The sequence below is a fragment of the Homo sapiens genome, chromosome 8, assembly GCF_000001405.40.
Source record: "Homo sapiens chromosome 8, GRCh38.p14 Primary Assembly".
Classification (NCBI taxonomy): domain Eukaryota; kingdom Metazoa; phylum Chordata; class Mammalia; order Primates; family Hominidae; genus Homo; species Homo sapiens.
In genome coordinates this window covers 79,708,775-79,732,395 of record NC_000008.11, presented here as the reverse complement: position 1 = coordinate 79,732,395, position 23,621 = coordinate 79,708,775, and the positions used below count along the sequence as shown (strand labels likewise).

The 23,621-nt window shown below is 41.8% G+C and overlaps 2 long non-coding RNA genes across 3 annotated transcripts, besides 1 other annotated feature; both read left to right on the top strand.

Annotated features, from left to right (window-relative positions):
• Nucleotides 1–6,302: 6,302 nt before the first annotated feature.
• LOC107986893 (uncharacterized) lies at nucleotides 6,303–8,045 on the top strand. Of its 2 annotated transcripts, none has more exons than XR_001745722.1 (3): nucleotides 6,303–6,388; nucleotides 6,690–6,807; nucleotides 7,675–8,045. It is a non-coding gene; the product is annotated as an uncharacterized LOC107986893 (long non-coding RNA). The 2 variants fall into 2 exon arrangements; XR_001745721.1 differs by having other exon boundaries at nucleotides 7,672–8,045.
• Nucleotides 8,080–9,279: an enhancer, noted in NCBI's record as "CDK7 strongly-dependent group 2 enhancer chr8:80635352-80636551 (GRCh37/hg19 assembly coordinates)". NCBI's record gives its function as "activates an origin of replication core promoter dependent on BRD2, BRD4, P300/CBP, MED14 and CDK7 cofactors, with strong dependence on CDK7, by STARR-seq in HCT116 cells {active_cell/tissue: HCT116}" and the evidence as "EXISTENCE:reporter gene assay evidence [ECO:0000049][PMID:35650434]".
• On the top strand, nucleotides 8,184–17,018 carry LOC124901965 (uncharacterized). The gene is made up of 2 exons (XR_007060975.1): nucleotides 8,184–8,370; nucleotides 16,882–17,018. It is a non-coding gene; the product is annotated as an uncharacterized LOC124901965 (long non-coding RNA).
• The last annotated feature ends 6,603 nt before the right edge of the window (nucleotides 17,019–23,621 follow it).

The window sequence follows — 23,621 nt, the reverse complement described above, 5'->3', positions numbered from 1 at the left end:
GCCCAGGTACAGCTTGAGCTGCTACTTTGGAGGACACAAGCCATACGGTTTGGCAGCTTCCACATGGTGTTAAACCTGTTGTTGCATAGAGCACAAGAGTGAAGGGTTGTCAGCCTCCACCTAGATTTCAGAGGATGTGTGAGAAAGCCTGGATGTCCAGGCAGAAGCCTGCCGCAGGGTCAGAGCCCTCACAGAGAACTTCTGCTAGGGCAGTGCTGAGGGGATATATGGGGTTGGAGTCCACACACAGGGTCTCCACTGGGGCATTGCCTAGTGGAGCTGTGGGAATGGGGCCACAGTCTTCCAAACCCCAGAATGGTAGATTCACTGGCAGCTTGCTGGCTGTGCCTGGAAAAGCCACAGGCACTCAACTCCAACACGTGAGAGCAGCTGTGGGGGCTGCACCCTGCAAAGCCAAATGGGTGGTGTGGCCCAAGGCCCTGGGAACCCATCCTTGCACCAGTGTACATTGGATGCAGCATATGGAGTCAGAGGAGATTATTTTGGAGTTTTAAGATGTAATGACTACCTTGCTGATTTTGAACTTTTCATGGGACCTGTAACCCCTGTCTTCTGGCTGATTTCTCCCTTTTGAAACAGGAATATTTACCCAATGCCTGTACCTCCATCATATCTTGGAAATAACTAACTTGTTTTTGATTTTAAGGGTCGCAGGTTGAAGAAACTTGTCGTGTCTCAGATGAGACTTTGGACTTTTGAGTTAATGTTATAATGAGTTAAGACTTTGGGCAACTGTTGGGAAGGCCAACAGTTAATTGCATTTTGCAATGAGAGAAGGATATAAGATTTGCTAAGAATCAGGGGCAGAATGATATAGTTTGCATATTTGTCCTTGTCCAAATCTCATATTCAATTGTAATCCCCAATGCTGGAAGTGGGGCCTGGTGGGAGATGTTTGGGTCATGGGGGTGGATCCCTCATGGCTTAGTGCTGTCTTTCTGATAGTGAGTTCTCACAAGATCTGGCTCCCACTGTACCATATGAGATGCTGGTCCCCCCTTCACCTTCTGCCATGATTGCAAGCTTCCTGAGGCCTCCCCAGAAGCAGATGCCAGCACCATGCTTCCTGTACAGTCTGCAGAACTGTGAGCCAATTAAACCTCTTTTCTTATAAATTACCCAGTCTCATAGCAATGCAAGAATGACCTAATACATTAGGGGAATTTCAAGGGAGAGCTTATTTTCAACTGTAGAGATTAAGTTTTCATAAGAATTGTCATTTGTGCTAAACCTCAAATGATGGATTGGATATGACAAAGCTGTGCATGGGGCAGGAAGGGCATGCCAAGAAATAATAGCAGGTACTAGGTCCAGAGGTAGCAGTGAGTGCTGTAGGTGTGGGAGATATTTGATGGTTCTTCTGGGGTGGTGTGTGATGGTTCCTCTGGAAAAGTGTTTTGTGGTTCCTCTGGGGAAGTGTTTGGTGGCTCCTTGGGTGAGTGTTTGGTAGTTTCTCTGGAGAGGTTTGGTGGTTCCTCTGGGGAGGTGTTTGGTGGTTCTTCTGGAGAGGTGTTTGGTGGTTTCTCTGGAGAGGTGTTTGGTGGTTCCTCAGGAAAGGTGTGTGGTGGTTCCTCTGGGAGATGTTTGGTGGTTCCTCTGGGGAGGTTTTTTGTGGTTCCTTGGGGAGGGTTAGTGGGTCCTCTTGGAAGTGTTGGGTGGTTCTTCTGGGGAATGGTTTGGTGGTTCCTTGGGGAGGTTTGGTGGGTCCTCTGGAGAGGTGTCTGGTGGTTTCTCTGGAGAGGTATTTGGTGGTTCCTCTGGAGAAGTGTCTGGTGGTTCCTCTGGAGAGGTTTTGGTGGTTCCCTGGGGATGTTTAGTGGATCCTCTTGGAGGTGTTTGGTGGTTTCTCTGAGGAAGTGTTTGGTGGTTCCTTGGGGAGGTTTGGTGGTTCCTCTGGAGAGGTGCCTGGTGGTTCCTCTAGAGAGGTGTTTGGTGGTTCCTCTGGGGAGGTGTTTGGTGGTTCCTTGGGGGAGGTTGGGTGGTTCCTCTGGGGAGGTGGTTCCTTGGGGAGGTTTGGTGGTTCCTCTAGGGAGGTGTTTGGTGGTTGTTTGGGGGAGGTTTGGTGGTTCCTCTGGGGAGATGTTAAGAGGTTCCTCTGGGGAGGTATTTGGTAGTTTATTTGGTAAGAATGTAGGAGGTATAAAGTACATGCTTATTATAAAATACCTTGATGCTAAGGAGGCTGGTTCCATTAAAGGTTTTGAGGGAAAGAAGTGGAACTTTGTTCTAGAAAAATTAACGGAAAGGCATTCCCATGTTAGACCAGGGATGGGAGAGCCTGGAGCTGTATTCTATCATATAGGCTTGCCTGGAGCTTCCAGACAGGCAGTGACTGACTGAAGCTGGCTGGTGGTTTGCTTATTAAACGTGTGGGAGTGAATGTTGTTTATTCTACAAAGAAAAATTCTCTCTGTCTCCATTTTCTTGAAACGCATGGCCCTCTCAATCCATCCCCTCACCCTTAGTTTTGAATAAAGACATGGATTTTAAAAGCTGACACTAATTGTACCCTTACTTTGTGCCAGACACTCTTCTAAGTGCTTCTAAATCTTTTTTCCTCACAATCACTCCACAAGCTTTGTACTGTCCTTTAACAATGGTGTTTTGAGGCACAGGGAGGTGAGTGAAGCTGGCTGAGGTCAAACCTGTGATCAGAATGGTGGCCCAAGGTTTGAACCCAGGCAGTGTCTGGCTCCAGAGCCCTTTGTTTTTCACCATTGCATGATATGATTGAGGGTAGAAAAAATGCCCAGATTACAAGTTAATCAACTGAGCAAGCACAAGTTTAAAAGGCTGCTTACATTTGCCCTCAGTGTCCTGAACCAAGCTGGAGTTGGGGGGCTCATGGGAGGCTGGAGAAGTTATGCCCTAGCTGGGAGGCACCCTTGCCTCAGCTCTAGCTGGTGGCTGCCATGTAGGAAAACAGGCCACTGTCACCAAAAATTTCAAATTTTGAAAGAAGCTGGAAACCTAGATTTTCATGTGAAATCTCTTGATTGTTAAATGGTGGTTGAAATGAGTTTAAACATAATGATGTTATATAAGGTACAATTCGTGGGAAGTAATTAAGTGTTGTCATGAGTTGTGATTGATTCCTATGCCTCCCTCCAATTCATTGCCAATTCTCCTTTTCTTTCTTTAATTTGGCTTTAGCTGTCTTTTGTGCATTAGGATTTCAGTTAGACAAAGTGATAAGAACCATAACATTACATTGCTTATAAGGAATGACTGATGCTTGATTTCTTTGAACAGCAGAAGATGAATATTAGGAGTAGTTTTATATTAGCACACTGTATAATTGTAATTTTAAGGTACCATTATTAAACTATACAGTGTGAGGGAGTGGTGTGATTCAGAAAATTCTCTTAAAATTGTTATCTCAAATTAGAAAAAATAACCCCCTTAGGCATAGCCTTCAGCATTTTTGCAGTTTGGGACTGTATTAGTCCATTCTCTCACTGCTATAAAGAAATACCTGAAACTGGGTAATTTATAAAGAAAATAGGTTTAATCGACTCATGGTTGTGCAAGCTGCACAGGCTTCTGCTTCTCAGGAGGCCTCAGGAAACTTACAATGATGGTGGAAGGCAAAGGCTTCTGGAAGCAGCCATGTTTTACATGGCCAGAGCAGGAGGAAGAGAGTGAGGGGGGAGGTGCCACACACTTTTTAAACAATCAGATCTTGTGAGAATTCTATCACAAGAACAGCACCAAAAAGGGAAATCTGTTCCCATGATCCAATCACCTCCCACCAGGCCCCGCCTTCAACATTGGATTACAATTTGACATGAGATTTGGTGGGGCGGGGGACACAGATCCAAGCCATATCAGGGACTATGGTAATACCCTGCTCTTCATTCAAGTAATCCCTTCACCCCTGCCTCTCTCCTCTGGCCTCCCCTTCCTTTTGGTCCAGGGCAGAAGGCATCTGGTGTTGGACATCTGGTCTCACTATCTCTTTCCATAGCAGAGAAGCAAAGGATTCTTTTTCCTCTTTTATTTTTTGGGTGGTGTTGTCCAATGTACCTTAAACTTTTTATGTTTGTTCTGCAGGAGATTACAGGGTCCAGGTTGTGGGAACTTTTTGTTGGAACACATAACATTTCCATCAATAAAGTTAGCTTCCTATAAAACAAACAAACAAATAATCCATACTAAGATGGCCAAATGAGAGACATTTGTGGACTGGACTTGGCCTGCAGATCATCGATGATTATCCCTATGTGAGGGTCAGGGAGGCCAGTTCAGAGGCCACCATAGTGGCCCAGGCAGGGGGTAAGGAGGGCCTGGGCCTACATCCTGGCTGTGAGAAGTTAGGAGAGCTCTACTGTATGTCAGGAACCTCCCTCTTTTTCTTAGCATAAAAGGAAAGGCAGGCATAATTATACTGGTTCCTTGTGAGATAAACCTTTTCTGACACCCTGGTATAGCTGAGAAAATCCTTTTTCCCCTGTCAGATGTCATGTTAACCTAACTGTTCAAAGCCCGGTCCAGGCTCACTGGAAGATGGACATGGAGAGAACAGAGACTGCACATTTATATTTAGCATCATGTTCAGAAGCACCAGTGAATGGGAGTTTGTATCAGTGGTTGTATCTGCGGGATTTAAATTTATCATAGAGGTGATTGAGTGATGATACTCATCAGAGGCTAATACCATTGAAAGATTTTCATTACTTACATTTCCTAAAGAAGGGGTACAAGGAAGCGGCACACCATACCATGCAGAACCACATGATGCTATGGACTGAATGTTTGTGTCTTCCCCCAAATTCATATGGTGAAACTCTGATCTCCAAGGTGAAGGTATTTGGAAAGGTATTTGGCCTTTGGGGGATAATTTCGTCCTGAGAGTAGAGCCCTTATGATGGGTTTAGTGCCCTTATAACAAGAGACAAGAGAGAGCTTGCTTCTTTTCTCTTTTTCTCTCTCTCTCTACTGTGTGAAGATACAGCAAGAAGATATCCATCTGCAAACTAGGGAATGGGTCCTCACCAGACAGTAGATCTGCACCATGACCTTGAACTTCCCAGTCTCCAGAACTGTCAGAAATAAGTGTTTGTTGTTTACGCCACCCAGCCTATGGTATTTTTGTCACGTAGTCCAAGTGGACTCAGACACAGGGTGTTGGTCAGCAGACAGAGAGGAGTGAGGGTGAAGCACAAGCCAGAGCCTCTATTGTGTTTTCTGTAGGAAAGGCAGGGCAGCTGGGAGCAACAGTTTAGGATTGGCTGCTTCCGATACTTTCAGTGGGTGTTAGGAATGAGGCTGTCCTTAGTTGTCTGGTACCTGGCTTTTGGTGGATTTTGGGCAGGGGGAATATTGACTTGACATGTGAGGTCAAGGAGGTGGTAGTTGGGTAAATAAAGGAGGTGGCTGTAGGGTATGGACTCAGGACACTGTTTGCATATGAAGGGTGTATAGTAAGGCTAGTTTATTATCTTGGAAATAACTTGGTCATGGAAGGGCAGTCTCTCCCTGACCAGCTGGGCCCTCCAAGATGTGAAAATACTATAAAATATAGAAAAGAAAAAATATTGGCCAGGCACAGTGGCTCACGCTTGTAATCCTATCACTTTTGGAGGCTGAGGTGGGCAGATCGCTTGAGGCCAGGAGTTCAAGACCAGCCTGGCCAACATGGCAAAACCCCGTCTCTACTAAAAATACAAAAATTAGCTGGGCCTGGTGGTGCATGCCTGTAATCCCAGCTACTTGAGAGGCTGAGGCAGGAGAATTGTTGAACCCAGGAGGTGGAGGTTGCAGTGAGCCAAGATTGCACCAGTGTACTCCAGCCTGGGCAACAGAGCAAGACTCTGTCTCAAAAAAAATATGATTAATATAGAGTTCCATCAGGATTTTTGCACTTCCAATAGAAGCATGAATTAGTTAAAGGGGTAACTTCTTTCTTTTAATAATTGTTTTCTTTTAAAAATGGACATTTAACAAGCAGCAGTGAAAAGGGCTAACTTTGAAAAGAGACCTAAGCATGTTGTCTATCTTGTAGGTCTTGCTTCATTTAGATGAGATAATGAGAATAGATGGGAGCTTGTGCAATTTGTAGTCAGCTTCATTTCCTGGTTCTCACACACCAGCCTGACATTGTTGTGTTTGGATTCACAACATGGCCAGGGGATGTTTACATCCCCACCCAGACAGCTGTGCTCATTGAAATAGAAGGAATGATGATGATGATGTTTATTTCCGGAATGGTAAAACACTGAAACCCTTGGTCTCTAAAAATAGGTCACTGTTTTACTTAGAGGTGAACTGGCATTGTTTACCTAAATGCCGAAGTGTCTGACAATGGTTCTCCAAAGTTAGTTGAAGTTGAAAAAGGTCTCATGTTACTTCGAAATTGTCAGAAATGGTAAGTCTTTGAAATTCTGCAGATTTTTATTCCTGGCATAATCAGAAAATTTGGAATCACAATTACAAGACTGTTTGCATGTATTTACTCTAAATTGGCCAAGTTTGGGAAATCATGAATGTAGCTGGTTCTTATCTCAAGAGTTCTCTAAATCAGAACTGCTTTGTTGATGCCTGAATGCTGACCCTGAAAAGTTTCTAAGGCCACCTCAACCCTAGACTTGACTGGCCCATTTAGGAATAAAATAAAGTGTGCAGAAGAGTCCACTTTACCAGTGACAGTCCTTTTCTTGTGATTCTAGGGAAGCCAGATAACTCCGTGGGATTGCCTTTAAAAACATTACAGAAATCTCCATTCTGCAAATCTAAAGATAAAACTTCATTTTCTGGACAAGCTGAGCTCTCATGCAAGAGTGCAAGGTTGGTGATTATTTGCATAACAGCAACACTGTTTTACTGTTTAATGCTCCCTGGACCTAGCATCAATGTCCCCAACCCCTATAGCTGTATTTCTCACACTGAATATATTCCCCTCACTATTCCAAGAACCTATACTGGAAGTATAATGAGAGAAGAATTTGACAGGCCTCAGGAAATTTAATATAAATGCAATAGTCCTTTTCGTCACCCACCTGCATTGATTATTAGTGGTTCTCCCCCTTCTAGTCCCTCTCCTGTCTGAGCAGCCCATGCACTATTACCGGGTCAGTGTTCTGAGACCCATTTCTGCTCCATGAACTTGCAAAAGGCTGGCATTTCAGACACTGAAAGATCTGCTCAGTCCTTTAATCTCCAGTGTCATGTTCCAGCACATCAAAACCTGAACTGTCTCTGTGAAGTCGTCTCACCTTCTTTCTGGGTCTCCCTGTTCCATCCCTATCTGGAGTGTGCTGGATCAGTTGTCCACCCATGTAGACCTACAAGGCCCACTCAAGCCCACTGCTTCCATCAACCCTTTCTCAGCTGCTCCTGCTTTCCTCCCCACGAACCCTGCAATTTAGCAGTTACTTATTGTTTTATATTATTTTCTGAAGTATGGAAGTTTTTTCCCCCAATTCAAAGAGCTGGTTTCATTTGTGTTAGTTTATGTCAGAAAGAGTAGGAGCAGATTTCACCAAAGAGCAATGGCAGGGTGGTTCAGAGGTTCAGAGCTCAGGAAAGATTTGTAGGCTATCTCTCCAGCTGCTTATACAGAGGCATTGCCTAGAGGGACTTTCCATGGCTCAGAGTCAAACCCTCAATCTTGCGGCTCAGAAGCTTAATTTTATTCATTTGTTCTCTCAGCAGGTTCAGTCTCAGAAGGGCAGACTTATAGTAACCGAACTCATTTGTAAACTGAGCAACCAAGCCCATTTTTAAGATCCAGAACCACTGAAGAAACTCAAGCAGTGCTCTTGGCTCTTGGCTCTTAGCTGGTGCACTCTCCCTCTGGGGGCCTACAGGAGGTCCCAATTATCATTAGTGGTTGCTTGGTAAGTTAAAAAATCTGCATGTTTTATGCCCTTGAACTATAATCAGCTGGATGCACCTATCGCCTCATAGGTCTACATTCTGTTGGAACCACAGCAGCCAAGTGCTCAGTGCAGTCGCCCTTTCTCCTTGATGTGCTGGATGGTCATTACCATAGTCTTGTGGCTGGTTGACCAGCTGTGCTACGTCCCCACTCAACACTGCAAATGATTGATATATTCATGGAACTATTCTGACTCTTAAGGTGACTTGGCCTATTTTTCCAGGCACTGATTTTACATTTTGTCTTTCCAAGCTCAATCTTGATTCTTTTATTTTAAGATGAGGGTGGCTTCCAGACGCTTCTGAGTACTGACAACAGTGTGCTCTGCTGCCAAGGCATCCTGCCTCCCTATGGAGAACATGGAGTAGTCATTTAATACCTGCCACCCAAGGGACTGGATGGAAGAAGGGCAGGCTTCAGAGGATTTATACTCTGAAGACAGTTATGTTTGATCTGAAAATGAAAAAGTGGTGAGTATTTCTTAGGTTGTCAGTCAATCCTAACCTATTTGAGTTGAAAAGGGGACCTATAATAATGTTCCCTCCCTGGCTATTTTATTGTGCTGGGAATCTCCTCTTTATGCTCTAAGCCAAATGTTCTAGATCATGGGTCAAGGATGAAAGAGCGCCAGCCACCACCTCTTGGACTATTGCATCCGTGCTCGGCTCTCAGGGGAAGGCTTTGCAGAAATGTCTGCAGTAAAAGAAACACATGACTTTCAGCAGTTGACCTGGAAGTGGTTAGCAGTTTCTTTAAAGGAGTGAGAAAGAGAGACTTGTGGGTTCAAGCCTCAGTCCCTGGGCTATGAAGATGGAACTAATGTAACCTCTTTGGCTAGAGATCATGGCAGCAAGGTCTCTGCAGGAGAGGTAGCACTCTGCTCTCTTTTCTTGTTGTTGTTTCAAACAGGACATGACCTCCAGTAATTTAAAGGCTGTTTTGATTTCTTCTTCCTTGAGACAGCTCATCCTGCCTCTAGCTGGTTGCCTGTGAGGAGGAAGAGAGAGGAAGGAAAATAACGAAAGAGGGAAGGAAGTTCCTCCCCCACATTGAGTGACCCGGCTCCGGCCCCAGGACATTCAGGGATCTATTTCAGCATGTTCTCCCCACCCCCACCTCCCTTTCTATTTCCCCTTACTCAGCCTCTCCAGTTCATCACAGCTGGCCACGCAATCTCCCACCTGCAGCCTGGGCCCAGCCTCTTTCCCAGACCAATCTGGGCTTGAGGCAGGAAGCAATTAAGCAGACCTATCAAGTCCCTCCTTACTTCCAGACATCCTCATGGATCTGCTTGCTAACCAAGGATGCAAGTCCCTCTGCTAATGCTTGAGCTGCTGCATTGCACTGGGGATGGCAACAAGCCCTCCTTGTCCCCCTGCCTCCTGTCTGCTGGGACAGAGCACCTGCAGCTGAATTCTCCAGCCAGAGCCTGCCCCGTGCAGTGTGTTCTGGTTTCTGAATGCACCATTCTGCTTGGGGATGACCTCAGAGAATTCTGAATCCAGGAAACTTCTTGGTCCTGCAGGCTTTAGCTCTCCTCTCAACTATCCATGGTATCCCTATTTTTTGACACGGATAATCGACATTTTCTCAGTCTTGTGTAGAGTATTATGCAAATACAGCTTCTCTAGTTCTTTTCCAACCAAAATGCTCCCTGTAAGTTCTTCCTACATTGAAATTCTGCAGCCACTACTGCCAGTGCCCTTCTGACTGGCACTTGTCTCATGGTGTCCTTGTGGATGTCCTTAAACCTGAGCCCTGATTGCCTTCCCAGATGCTACTGGCCTGCTTGCCAGGGCTTCTGCTGTAGTGGACCCTGCTTTCCCATTGCTGGGCTCTGCCCACTGCTGTGATTGCTCCTGTTGATCAGCCCTGATGGTTTGCCTGAGCTATTCCTATAGCGCTCTATTTGCCGAGACTCAGTAACAGTTGCCTGCAGGGGATGGGGGCCAGGAGAAGGATAGGGATTTGGCATCTCTTAAGCCGAAAATCTTTTTCTGTTTTTAAACACAGGGTCTTGCTCTGTTGCCCAAGCTGGACATCAGTGGTGCCATCTCGGGTTTCTGCAACCTCTGCCTCCCTGGATCAAGTGATCCTCCCACCTCAGTCTCTTGAATACCTGGGACCACAGACGTGTGCCACCATGTCTGGCTAATTTTTGTATTTTCTGTATAGATGGGGTTTTGCCATGTTGCCCAGGTTGCTGTCAAACCCCTGAGCTTAAGCATTCCACCTGCCTCGGCCTCTCAAAGTGCTGGGATTACAGGCATGAGTCACTGTGCCCAGCCAACAATTTCTTTCTTTCTTTCTGTTTTTTTGGAGATGGGTCTTGCTATGTTGCCCAGGCTGGACTTGAACTCCTGCACTTAAGCCATCCTCTTGCCTCAGCCTCTGGAGTAGCTAGGACTATGGGTACTTGCCACTGTGCCTGGCTAAGCTGACAACCTTTAAATCCTGTTCAACTCTTATTTAGTGGGGGTAGTGACAGAATGAGGGAGAGTGTTTTCTAATTTTTACTTCAGAACTTTGTCTTCTTTTGTGGAAAAGGGTGCAGATCACATTTTGACCACTCTGTAATGAGCTCTGTGTAGTGATCTGAGTTAAAGTGGGCCATGCTCTCAGATATGGTTCAGTAAGATTTTAGCATTCCTTGTAGCTCCAGACAGCTAAATGGGGCTCTGGGCCTCTCCAAGAATCCCTGGCACCTGGGCATGCCTCTCCCATCACGGAGCTCTCTGCAATATGTTGTGCCAGCGTCTGTCCGTGACTCCAGCTATTTCAGTTTTCCTGTTAAAACACCTTGCCAACCCACTAGTTGTGAGATACAACAAGCACTTTACAAAAGAACGGTAGCTGTTAGAAATGCGGAAACATTCAGACATCTAGTCTGTCCCTTGGGGATCAGTAGAGTTTTTGGTACTGATTTCTCCAGGGCTTTCTCCAGTTCAGATTAAAATAATCCTTCAAATGAGCCTTCCATTGCGCCCCTTGGGATATGTTTCTACTCTCATAAATTTTACCACAAAGACAATTTGGGGAAAAAAAGTCACTTTTGTTTCTTTTCAAGAAAATTGATTTTGACATTTCTGTCCTTACGGGAAGCTTCTGATGGAAGAATTGCTGTGCAGCTGAAGGACTCTGATGTGGAGTGGACTCAAAGGCCCTCAAGAAAATAAAAGTGGCTGAAGTCCTTTGAGAGAGGATCTGTTTTATGATAGTCTTTGAAAAGAGCATAGATACAGATATGACTGGTTTCAGTGGGTCCAACAGGGTGGCCTAAGGTGGCCAGTTGTGTTTGGAATCTTTTCACACTGAATGCAAGGTGGGGAGCCAGACTGATCATCAGGCCCTTTGGTGCTCAAGGACTCCTTCAGTAGGACATGATGCTGAAAACAGGGGGCGCTGGGATCAGACAACCGGCATCTGCGTCTGACTCCACTAGGAAAATGTCCTTTGTTCTGTGCTCCCAAAGCAGTCTGTCCAACCTCAGTTAGAACAGGTATTGCATTATATTATAAGTAGGCATTTGCCCTTTTCTTCTTCTTTAGACTATGCGCTGTTTGAGAGCAGTAACTATTTCTTATACAACTGTCTAGATCGTAACAGGCACTTGTAAATATTTGTTGGCCAACCCTTGTCTCTGCACATTAATAAGTTATTTAAACTCACAGCAGTTTTATGGAAGAGATATGATTAGCCCCACTTTACAGAAGAAGAGACTAAGGTTTAAGTTACTGAGTTACTTATCCCAAGTCCTGCAGCTAGTAGGTGGGAGAGCCAGGTTAACAACCGTCAGTAAGAACCCAGAACATGATCCCCAAATCAACTTGACACCAAAACTCAAGGTCTTAAGCCAGATGCTGTTTTCCCTGTCTAATCACGAGCCATGCTTGGCAGGCATTCAAATCTTGCTGTTGACTGATGTGATGTGCTTTTTTGTCAAGTTTGGCTAACTGGGTTTCCCCTACTGTTTTCTAACTTCTCTGATAATAAAAATATATTCCTTCCATGCTGCTGTTATCTGAGCTCCAGAGATTCCCTCCCCCATCAAATCTGTCTCTTTCCCAAGGAGTACTATGTTTCCTAGTAAAGGACATTTAGTTGTTTTCTACTTCTACTTTTCTGATCATACATTTAAAAGTTTCTTTTTTGGAGTATTTCATATCAGTTTTGGATAAAAATAATACGTTTCCTGAGAAATATGAAAACGTTGGCCCCTATGGGAAAGTGTGATTTGGCTCTAATTGGTGTCTTTTATGGCCTCCAGGGAGTGCTAAGGTGGGAGGCTGCATGGGCTATGGCTCCACTGCAGGTCAAACCAGGCTCAAGTGGGAATGAGCATGACCTTATTGTTTCCAGACCTTTAGGGACAGCTAGTGTGCCCTTATTAATGGGATCTAGTTGTGCTGTGAGTTTAGGGGACAGTAGGGTGTGGGGAGCCAGAGTTGTGGACACTGGAGAGCAGGGTTAGTAGACCCCAGTTGCACATCTATTTTAATGAGCTCAAAAGATTTCAAACTCTCTGGCTTTGTGTGCTGACACACCCTGGGGTGAGGTGTGGAAAAATCATCATGGCTCAGCAATTGAGGATTTCAGAGGTAGAATGAGAGGCATGAGCCTGCTGACTGGGATCCCAGTACATCTGGAGCTGAAAGATGTGACTGGGCCAAAAGGGGCTGGTGTGCATGAAGTCTGGGAGATCGAGTAGAGAAATCCGCCACCTGGTTAGTGAGTCCAGCACTTCTCACTGGTTGACTCATTAAAATTATGTTAGTCTTGTCCAATGGACCCACTTGCCTTTTCTGCTAGAGAAAGTTCACAGCCTCCATTGATGGATGAGAAGGTGGGAGAGAGGAATGCAGAGCCAGGAAGCCCAGTTTACTTGTAAAAAAAAAAAAAAGAAGAAAGAAAAAGGAAGGCTGGGCGCTGTGGTTCAGGCTGTGGCTCACACCTGTAATCCTAGCACTTTGGGAGGCTGATGTGGGCGGATCACTTGAACTCAGGAGTTCAAGACCAGCCTGGCCAACAGGATGAAACCCCGTCTCTACTAAAAATACAAAAATTAGCCAGGCATGGTGGAGGGCGCCTGTAATCCCAGCTGCTGGGGAGGCTGACGCGGGAGAATTGAGTGAGCCCCGAAGGCTGAGGTTGCAGTGAGCCGAGATCACACCACTGCACTCCAGCCTGGGTGACAGAGAGACATTCTGTCTCAAAAAAAACAAAAACAAACAAAAAAAAACAACAACAAACCAACAACAACAACAACAAAAAAAAGCAAAAAAGGAAAAGAAAATAGAAAAAGGAAGGTCAGTGTTGAAGCTGCCTGGGCAAATCTGTGAAGAGAGAATTTAGTCAAGGGACTACTAAATTAAAAACAATAGTATAACACGTACACGTGGGCACACACACATGCATGCACACAACCAAGCCCATATGCTGCATGTTGAAGCCTAAAATCACTGCCGAATTTGTGTCCATGTGTAAATTATTTTACTGTTTACAGTAACTGATTCAAACCTCCAGCATTGCTAAAGTGTGTAGGATCTTTTTCCTCTCCTTACTTGAGTCTCATTGGATTGCTGCTGGTACTAGTCGGTTAGCTATTTGCTAGCTGGTCCCCAGCAACTGGTTTAATTTTTATTCTATTGATAGTGTGAACTGTTTAACTGATGACTCATATTAAACATTTGCTGAATGTAAGGTGTTCTGCTGGAGAGTTGACTTGTATAGTTGACAGCTCTGAGAGTCAGGTATTATCATTCCCATTATATAGAAGAGGAAACTGAGACTTAGAATGTTCAATGACTTGCACTCAAGGCCGCACAGCTGGTTAGAACTGGGATTCAAATATAGTCTTTTCTAACTGCAAGTTCCTCCATGGGATTGATACATTTTCCCCGACTGAGGTTTCTTTTCTGTATTGGCTGCTAGGCTTCTGAAGCCAAAGTCATAGCCTATTTCTAGCAAGTGTGAAGCACTTGATGAGATGTATTAAATATACTGAATTAAATCCTGGTTTTATTTTCATTACCCTTATTTCCCCTTTCCAAGATTTATTTACTTATCTGTGTCTTATTAATATCTATCTATCTATCTACACATTTATTTATTGAATAGACTGTCTCAAATTTTTTGGACAAGCTATTTGGTGGTGTAGTAGTAAATAGGAAGAAAATACCTATGTAAAGAAATAACTTTCTAGACCTAATAATTTCTAATAAATTTTCCATAGAGTCATGAAATCTAGCATATCTCCCATTTCCTATTTCTTTACTACCTTGCTTATCTCTCTGTTTTTCTTTCTTTCTTTTTGAGTTGTAAAAGCCTAAAGCCACAGCCAAACTTTTGGCTATATGCAAATTATTTTCTTATTTGATTGACTCAGACCCAAATATTGCTAAATAAATGTTTGGGAGCTTTTTCCATTCCTTATTCTGGTGTTATTAAAGTTCAGCTGGTTTGGTTATAAGAGTTCCAACAGTTTTGTAACAGGTCATTTGCCTATTTTCATTGCACAGTGGCAAATAATATGCATTACATGAAGCTTGTGAATGATATCATTTTACCTCTTTGTTGAGAGAGAAAAAATGACATTCTTGGTCACTGTTGGGAATTCCTGTAACCAGACACATTCTCTAGCCTGGAGACAGACTCAAGTCCTTCAGGTTGAAGAGAGAGCCTAACTCCTCCCTAAATAATCAAATAGTTATATCCACCAGTTTTTGGAAGATCAAAGGCTTAGCCCACCAGCAGGCTCAGTCAGGATGGTGGTTTCTGATAGGTTCAGCAGTGAGAACACAAAATGAGTTTAATTGGCACAGTGTGAGAACTTTTATTTTTTCAAGTTTGAGTATTTTAGTATTATTAGATGTATAAGCACATCAAATGTGTTATTTTAAGGATATAATTCCTCGGTGTAAATCTAAAATTTTATAAATGTGTTATTTTTGAGAAAACATGAAGTAAATTAGCAGTACACAGTGAAAAATTTATTAAGGTGATAGGCTAAAGACTGAAGTGTTGGAAACTTTAAATAAGGGCAATCTTTCATGGAGAAACATGAGATGAAGGATGCCAACTGCTGGATACCTGGAAATTCTGTAGCGACTGGGGTTACCATTCATTGGAAGGTACTGATGCCTTTTGGCCCTTCTTCACCTCTTGAACTTTGTTAAATGTGATCTTCTTGTGCTGAATAAAGGTCACTTTAATTTGTGTTGTTGATGTACTGTTGGTAGATGTCCTGCTTATCAGCTTCTTTTTATTGCAGCAAATTCCCTTTACATCTCTTGGATCAGAGTTTTTCAATTTGAGCATCAGTCTTCAACATTTTATTTGTATCCCCATTAACTGAATTGGAAACATCAAACAATTCTAGCATTTAAATAGTTACTAGCCTTTTATATGTATTGACAATTAGCAGAAACTGATGTATCACTCATTTTGATGAAACCAGAGGCATATAATCCAATGGAATCATGACCCATTTAAAAATGCATAAATAGGTTCTTCTATATCAGTCAAATATTTTACATCATTCTTTTCTCTCCTAGAACTTGTATCTCTTTTCTTTTCTCTAATAACTTTATCTTAATGTCATATACTTTTATGCTTGAAAGTTTTCTGTTGATCACCCTATTGTATTTCTCTGCAACATTATGTGTATTTTGTTCCTATGAATAAAAGGCGTTAAGTGTTTTTTTAAAAAAGACCTTTTATATTGGATTATCATTATAGGCATTATTGCAGTTAAATCAAAACAATACAAATAATTTAATAACTTTAAAAATTTAATAAAACAAACAAAAGCAAATATTCTTTAGAAATACAACTTTTAATGAGTTGACTCTATTGTATACTTACGGCACCCTGGTTAAAATAACTGTCTGACTATCTCTTTATTTTAACAGTTTTGGGTTATACAGCATGATTAGATGCTGGATAGGTAAGAGGTAAGATTGTTTTGAAATGAGCCAAAAAATGTTCATGAAAGGGAAGGTGGGAAAGGATGACTTCTACCGTGGGGGCCTTCCCTGACAAATCAGTTTTAGAAAAGTGGACATTGAGATATGGAAGTTGAATCCCTTAGAACTACCCATGGCCTATAGCCCTTAAAAAATGTAGTGGTGTGAAGGTAGTCATGAAGTGGTGTGAAGGTAGTCATGAAGTGGTGTGAAGGTAGTCATGACATTAGCAAAGTCATGAAGAAGGTCAGCTTCACAGGTGTACGAGCTGTGCTGTTGCATAGGTCCCAGGCTCACAGGGGTCCCGAATTTGGTTTAATGCTCTGCGGTCACCATCTTAAAATTCTTAGTAATTTTTGAACAAGGGACTCATATTTTAAATTTTATTTTAATGAGGGCCAGGAAATTATGTGGCCATTATTGGTCATGAATGTTTGATATGGGAAAACCTTGGCAGAGGAAATAAGATGGTAGTTCCAGAGCCATCTGGAGCTAGCTTGCACCATCCTGTGAGAGCTGATTTATTAAATATTTGGGAATTATGAGAGCCAGTCATTAAACCTACCACTTCAGGAATATTTACACTGCAGATAAAGCTCAAATGTTACAAATCAGGCTTGTCCCTGAATGTTACACCACTGTTTATTAGTTGCTTAAAGGAAAGGTGAAATAATGTAACAACTAAAAGTTGACTGGTCATACTTTGTGATTGACAACTAAAACAGTGAGATTAAGAGAAATAATTACAATAGCTAAAATTAGTTGATATCGTAATCATCAGGTACAATGCTAGATGCATTAAAAAGATTATTTAAACCTCAAAAAACCCTATGAGGTGTGCTATGGTGTGAATGTTTGTGTCCCCTCTAAATTCATATGTAGAAATCCTAACCCCAAGGTGATGGTGTTAGGAGGTGAGGCCTTTTGGGAGGCAATTAGGTCCTAAGGCAGATCCCTCATGAATAAGATTAGTGCACTTATAAAAAAGACCTGAGGGAGCTTGTTTGTCTTTTCCAGGTGGGGAACCAGCACAAAGGCACTGTGTATAAATCAGGAAACAAGCCCTCACCAGATACCAAGTCTACTGGCACCTTGATCTTGGACTTCCCATCCTCCAGAACTGTGAGAAATAAATTTCTGTTGTTTATAAGTCACCCACTCCATGGTATTTTGTTATGGCAGCCTGAACAGACTAAGATAAAATATGACTTCCCATTCTACAGATAGAAAAGCTGATGAGCAGAGAAGATAATTAACTTGCCTAATGGATACCTAGCTAGTAAGAAAGAGTGAGTGAGCTGGGACTTAAATCCAGAGGCTGTGTTTCTGACATCCCACATTAAAAGCTATTTCCCATGTCTCCACTCCTGACCCCAGTAAAGCTATTTCCACCCATATCTTTTCTGCCAGACAATCTCATAAGCCTCCTGACCATTAGTTTTGCACCACAAAATCTTCAGGTCTGTTCAATGTCTCTTGGGTTTCCCTGAGGCTTTAGCACTAACCCAGTGTATCCATAATCATTGCAAATCCTAGCTGAAGCATTTTTATCCAAACTCATTTTTGGTGTCTGGGCTATTACCAGCACTTGTTCTGATCCAGCCTATTTGATGTAGGCTAAACAATATGTATTTACGTTGACCTTCACATTCACAAATAACCCAAACAATGCCAAATAATAGTCCATATTGTACGTTCATTAGTGTTATGACTATAAAAATCCTAGAAAGTGTACATTCCACATTCATACAGACCTAAGTTCAAATTCTAGTCCAGTCACATATTAGCTGTGCAATTTTGGATGTTACTACTGTCTCTTATGTGTCAAATGAGTATTTTAATAGTCACCACCTCATAGGATTGTTGTGAGGATTAACTGAGATAATGTAAAAACATACAGCTTCATAAACACTAGCTACTATTTTTCTCATTGCTAAAAATTAAAATAACAGAGACAGAAATAAAGAAGAAAATTAAAATAATTTACAAACACACAAACCTGAGATATTATTAAGATTTTAACATATTTCCTTTCTGTTTATTTTATTTGTAAAACTTGAATTATATATTTGCAGTTTTGTATCCTCCTTTCACTTAATATGATAAATATTTCCTTTTTTGTGTGTTTTTGAAAAGATTTTATTTTAATTGTGGTTAAAAAGCATATAACATAAAATTACCATCTTAACCATTTTTAAGTATATGTTTCAATAGCATTAGGTACATTCACATTGTTCTGCAACCAATCTCCAGAAATGTTTCATCTTTCAAAACTGACTGTACCCATTAAACTACTCCCCATTCCCCTCTCCTTGCAGCCCAGATGTGATTTTTTTTCTTTTTTTTTTTAAATTATACTTTAAGTTTGGGGATACAGGTGCAGAACCTCCAGGTTTGTTACATAGGTATACAAGTGCCATGGTGGTTTGCTACACCCATCAACCAGTCATCTACATTAGGTATTTTTCCTAATGCTATCTCTCCCCTAGCCCCACACCCCCCGACAGGCCCCAGTGTGTGATGTTCTCCTCCCTGTGTCCATGTGTTCTCATTGTTCAAGTCCCGCTATGAATGAGAACATGCAGTGTTTGGTTTTCTGTTTCTGTGTTAGTTTGCTGAGAATGATGGCTTCCAGCTTCATCCATGTCCCTGCAAAGGAAATGAGCTCATCCTTTTTTTATGTCTGCATAGTATTCCATGGTGTATGTGTGCCACATTTTCTTTATCCAGTCTATCGTTGATGGACATTTGGGTTGGTTCCAAGTATTTGCCATTGTGAATAGTGCCACAATAAACATACATGTGCATATGTCTTTATAGTAGAATGATTTATAATCCTTTGGGCATATATCCAGTAATGGGATTGCTGGGTCAGATGGTATTTCTGATTCTAGATCCTTGAGGAATTGCCACACTGTCTTCCACAATGATTGAACTAATTTACACTCCCACCAACAATGTAAAAGCTTTCCTATTTGTCCACATCCTCTCCAGCATCTGTCGTTTCCTGACTTTTTAATGATTGCCATTCTAACTGGCATGAGATGTTATCTCATTTTGGTTTTGACTTGCATTTCCCTAATGACCAGTGATGATGAGCTTTTTTTCATATGTTTGTTGGCTGCATAAATGTCTTCTTTTGAGAAGTGTATGTTCATATCCTTTGCCCACTTTTTGATGGGGTTGTTTGTTTTTTTCCTGTAAATTTAAGTTCCTTGTAGATTCTGGATATTAGCCTTTTGTCAGATGGATAGATTGCAAAAATTTTCTCCCATTCTGTAGGTTGCCTGTTCACTCTGATGATAGTTTCTTTTGCCGTGCAGAAGCTTTTTAGTTTAATTAGATCCCATTTATCTATTTTGGCTTTTGTTGCCATTGCTTTTGGTGTTTCAGTCATGAAGTCTTTGTCCATGCTTATGTCCAGAATGGTATTGCCTAGGTTTTCTTCTAGGGTTTTTATGGTTTTAGGTCTTATGTTGAAGTCTTTAATCCATCTTGAGTTAATTTTTTTATAAGTTGTAAGGAAGGGATCCAGTTTCAGTTTTCTGCATATGGCTAGCCAGTTTTCCCAACACCATTTACTAAATAGGGAAACTTTTCCTCTTTGCTTGTTTTTGTCGGGTTTGTCAAAGATCAGATGATTGTAGATGTGTGGCATTATTTCTGAGGCCTCTGTTCTGTTCCATTGGTCTATATATCTGTTTTGGTACCATGCTGTCTGGTTACTGTAGCCTTGTAGTGTAGTTTGAAGTCAGGTAGCATGATGCCTCCAGCTTTGTCCTTTTTGCTTAGAGTTATCTTGGCTATAGGGGCTCTTTTTTGGTTCCATATGAAATTTAAAGTAGTTTTTTTCTAATTCTGTGAAGAAAGTCAATGGTAGCTTGATGGGGATAGCACTGAATCTATAAATTGCTTTGGGCAGTATGATCATTTTCAGGATATTGATTCTTCCTATCCATGAAGATGGAATGTTCTTCCATTTGTTTGTGTCCTTTCTTATTTCCTGGAGCAGTGGTTTGTAGTTCTCCTTGAAGAGGTCCTTCACATCCCTTGTAAGTTGTATTCCTAGGTATTTTATTCTCTTTGCAGCAATGGGAGTTCACTCATTATTTGACTCTCGGTTTGTCTGTTATTGGTGTATAGGAATGCTTGTGATTTTTGCACGTTGATTTTGTATCCTGAGAGTTTGCCTAAGTTGCTTATCAGCTTAACAAGATTTTGGGCCGAGATGATGGGGTTTTCTAAATATACAATTATGTCATCTGCAAACAGAGACAATTTGATTTCCTCTCTTCCTATTTGAATACATTTATTTCTTTCTTTTGCCTGATTGCCCTGGTCAGAACTTCCAACACTATGTTGAATAGGAGTGGTGAGAGAGGGCATCCTTGTCTTGGCTGGTTTTCAATGGGAATGCTTCCAGCTTTTGCCCATTCAGTATGATATTGGCTGTGGGTTTGTCATAAATAGCTTTTATTATTTTGAGATATGTTCTATCAATACCTAATTTATTGAGAGAGTTTTTAGCATGAAGGGTGTTGAATTTTATTGAAGGACTTTTCTGCATCTATTGAGATAATCATGTGGTTTTTGTCATTGGTTCTGTTTATATGATGGATTATGTCTATTGCTTTGTGTATGTTAAACCAGCCTCGCATTCCAGGGATGAAGCCAACTTGATCATGGTGGATAAGCTCTTTGATGTGCTGCTGGATTTGATTTGCCAATATTTTATTGAGGATTTTTGCATTGATGTTCATCAGCGATATTGGCCTGAATTGTTGTTGTTGTTGTTGTTGTTGTGTCTCTACCAGGTTTTGATATCAGGATGATGCTGGCTTCATAAAATGAATTAGGGAGGAGTCCCTTTTTTTCTATTGTTTGGAATACTTTCAGAAGGAACGGTACTAACTCCTCTTTGTACCTCTGGTAGAATTCAGCTGTGAATCCGTCTGGTCCTGGGCTTTTTTTGGTTGGTAGGCTATTCATTACTGCCTCAATTTCAGAATTTGTTATTGGTCTATTCAGGGATTCGACTTCTTCCTGATTTAGTCTTGGGAGGGTGTATGTGTCCAGGAATTTATCCATTTCTTTCAGATTTTCTAGTTTATTTGTGTAGACGTGTTTATAGTATTCTCTGATGGTAGTTTGTATTTCTGCAGGATCAGTGGTGATATCCCCTTTATCATTTTTTTTATTGTGTCTATTTGAATCTTCTCTCTTTTCTTCTTTATTAGTCTGGCTAAGAGTCCATCTATTTTGTTGATCTGTCAAAAAACCAGCTTCTGGATTCAATGAATTTTTGAAGGGTGTTTTGTGTCTCTATCTCCTTCAGTTCTGCTCTGATCTTAGCTATTTCTTGTCTTCTAGGTTTTGAATTTGTTTGCTCTTGCTTCTCTAGTTTTTTTAATTGTGTGTTAGAGTGTCGAATTTAGATCTCTCCTGCTTTCTCCTGTGGGTATTCAGTGCTATAAATTTCCCTCTAAACACTGCTTTAGCTGTGTCCCAGAGGTTCTGGTACATTGTGTCTTTGTTCTCATTGGTTTCAAAAAACTTACTTATTTCTGCCTTAATTTCATTATTTGCCCAGTAGTCATTCAGGAGCAGGTTGTTCAGTTTCCATGTTGTTGTGGGGTTTTGAGGGAGTTTCTTAATCCTGAGTTCTAATTTGATCGCACTGTGGTCTGAGAGACTGTTATTATTTTCATTTGCTGAGGAGTGTTTTACTTCCAATTATGTGGTCAATTTTAGAATAAGTGTGATGTGGTGCTGAGAAAAATGTATATTCTGTTGATTGGGGGTGGAGAGTTCTGTAGATGTGTATTAGGTCCGCTTGGTGCAGAGCTGACTTCAAGTCCTGAATATCCTTGTTAATTTTCTGTCTCATTGGTCTGTCTAATATTGACAGTATTCTAATTTTATAAAATGTTACTTTAAAACATACTTTCTGGCCAGGTGCAGTGGCTCACGCCTGTAATCCCAGTACTTTGGGAGGTCGAGGTGGGTGGATCATTTGAGGTCAGGAGTTCAAGACCAGCCTGGCCAACATGGTGAAACCTTGCCTCTGCTAAAAATACAAAAATTAGCCAGTCGTGGTGGGCGCCTGTAGTCCCAGCTACTTGGGAGGCTGAGGCAAGAGAATTGCTTGAACTCAGAAGGTGGAGGGTGCAGTGATCCGAGATCGTGCCGATGCACTCCAGCCTGGGTGACAGAGTAAGACTCTCTCTCAAAAAACAAACAAAAACAAAAGGAAACAAACAAACAAACAAAACCCATCTTTTTTTTTTGAGATGGAGTCTTGCTCTGTCACCCAGGCTGCAGTGCAGTGGCATGATCTCGGCTCACTGCAACCTCTGCCTCCTGAGTTCACGTGATTCTCCTGCTTCAGGATCCCGAGTAGCTGGGGCTACAGGCATGCACCACCATGCCTGGCTAATTTTTGTATTTTTTATTAGAGACGGGGTTTCACCATATTGGCCAGGCTGGTCTTGAACTCCTGACCTCAAGTGATCCGCCCTCCTCGGCCTCCCAAAGTGCTGGGATTACAAGCGTGAGCCACCGTGCCCAGCCAAAAATAACCGTACTTTCTAATGGCTGTGTAGTATTTAGTCTTTCAGTGGACCACAATTTTGGAATATTTAGGATGTTTACATATTTTGGTACTATAAGGAATGCGGAGATAAACATTCTTGCTCAAATCATTCTTTGAATCTGTGATTATTTTTTGAAATAGAACGCTAGGAGTATTTGATGAGTTAAGTGGTGTGAACCATGCCAAAAGTTTTCAATACATAGCATTGACTTGGTTTTTTTAAAAAGTTTACTATTTTACATTTCTATCTGTAGAATGAGTGTTAATATTTGAACAGATCTTTACTAACCCGATATGCAGGAATAACATATCTCTGCCCATAAGTGGACTTCCTTCCATCTGATAGCCTCTGTCTTGTTCTGATTCTGCAGTAAACCCTCCCTGTGAAAGGCTAGATCCAATCCTTTTCTTTCTTCCTTGGCCTCACACTGTACACACACAGGGGAAGGTTCATTAAGGGAATGTTTCAGATTGCTTATGGTAAATAACTTGGCTTTTCTAGCCATTTCCAAAGTGAGGGACAAAAAGAATCTTGGTACTAGAGAAAAGTGTGTTAGTTACTCTTTCCTGTTGCAGGGGAGACAGACAGTTTTGTGTGTCAACTTGATCAGGCTACAGTACCCAGTTTCTTCATTAAACGCTAATCTAGGTGTTGCTGTGGGTAGATGTGATGAACATCAAACCTTTGGCTGTGGGAAGGGGTAGTCATCTCTTTCTGCCACATTTGAGTGAGTTTGCATATAGCTGTAGATACTCGTCACAGTCCTTGAGTCCTTGAAGAAAGCCGGCCTGAGATGAAGCCAATTCACAGAGCGTGGCAGAACCAAGACTATTATAGAGAAATTGAGTTTGATCCCTGATAGAACTGTGCCTCAGCCTATTCTATCTCTGGATTTTTACATGAAGCAATGTATCTATTTTATTGTTTAACCCACTTTGAAGTTTGAAATAAACTTTCTAAATAATACACTAAAAACATCAAACACCTAATTATGACTTTTCCTGATTTGAAACTTTTTAAATATCTCCTATTGTTCTCAAGATAAAGTCCAGAATACTGCCTCTCCAGCCCTATCCCACACTGCCGCCTCTATTTGCACCTTACCTTGAACTACTTGGAAATACATTTATTTCCCAGGTTGTATTACACTGTCTGTCATTTTCA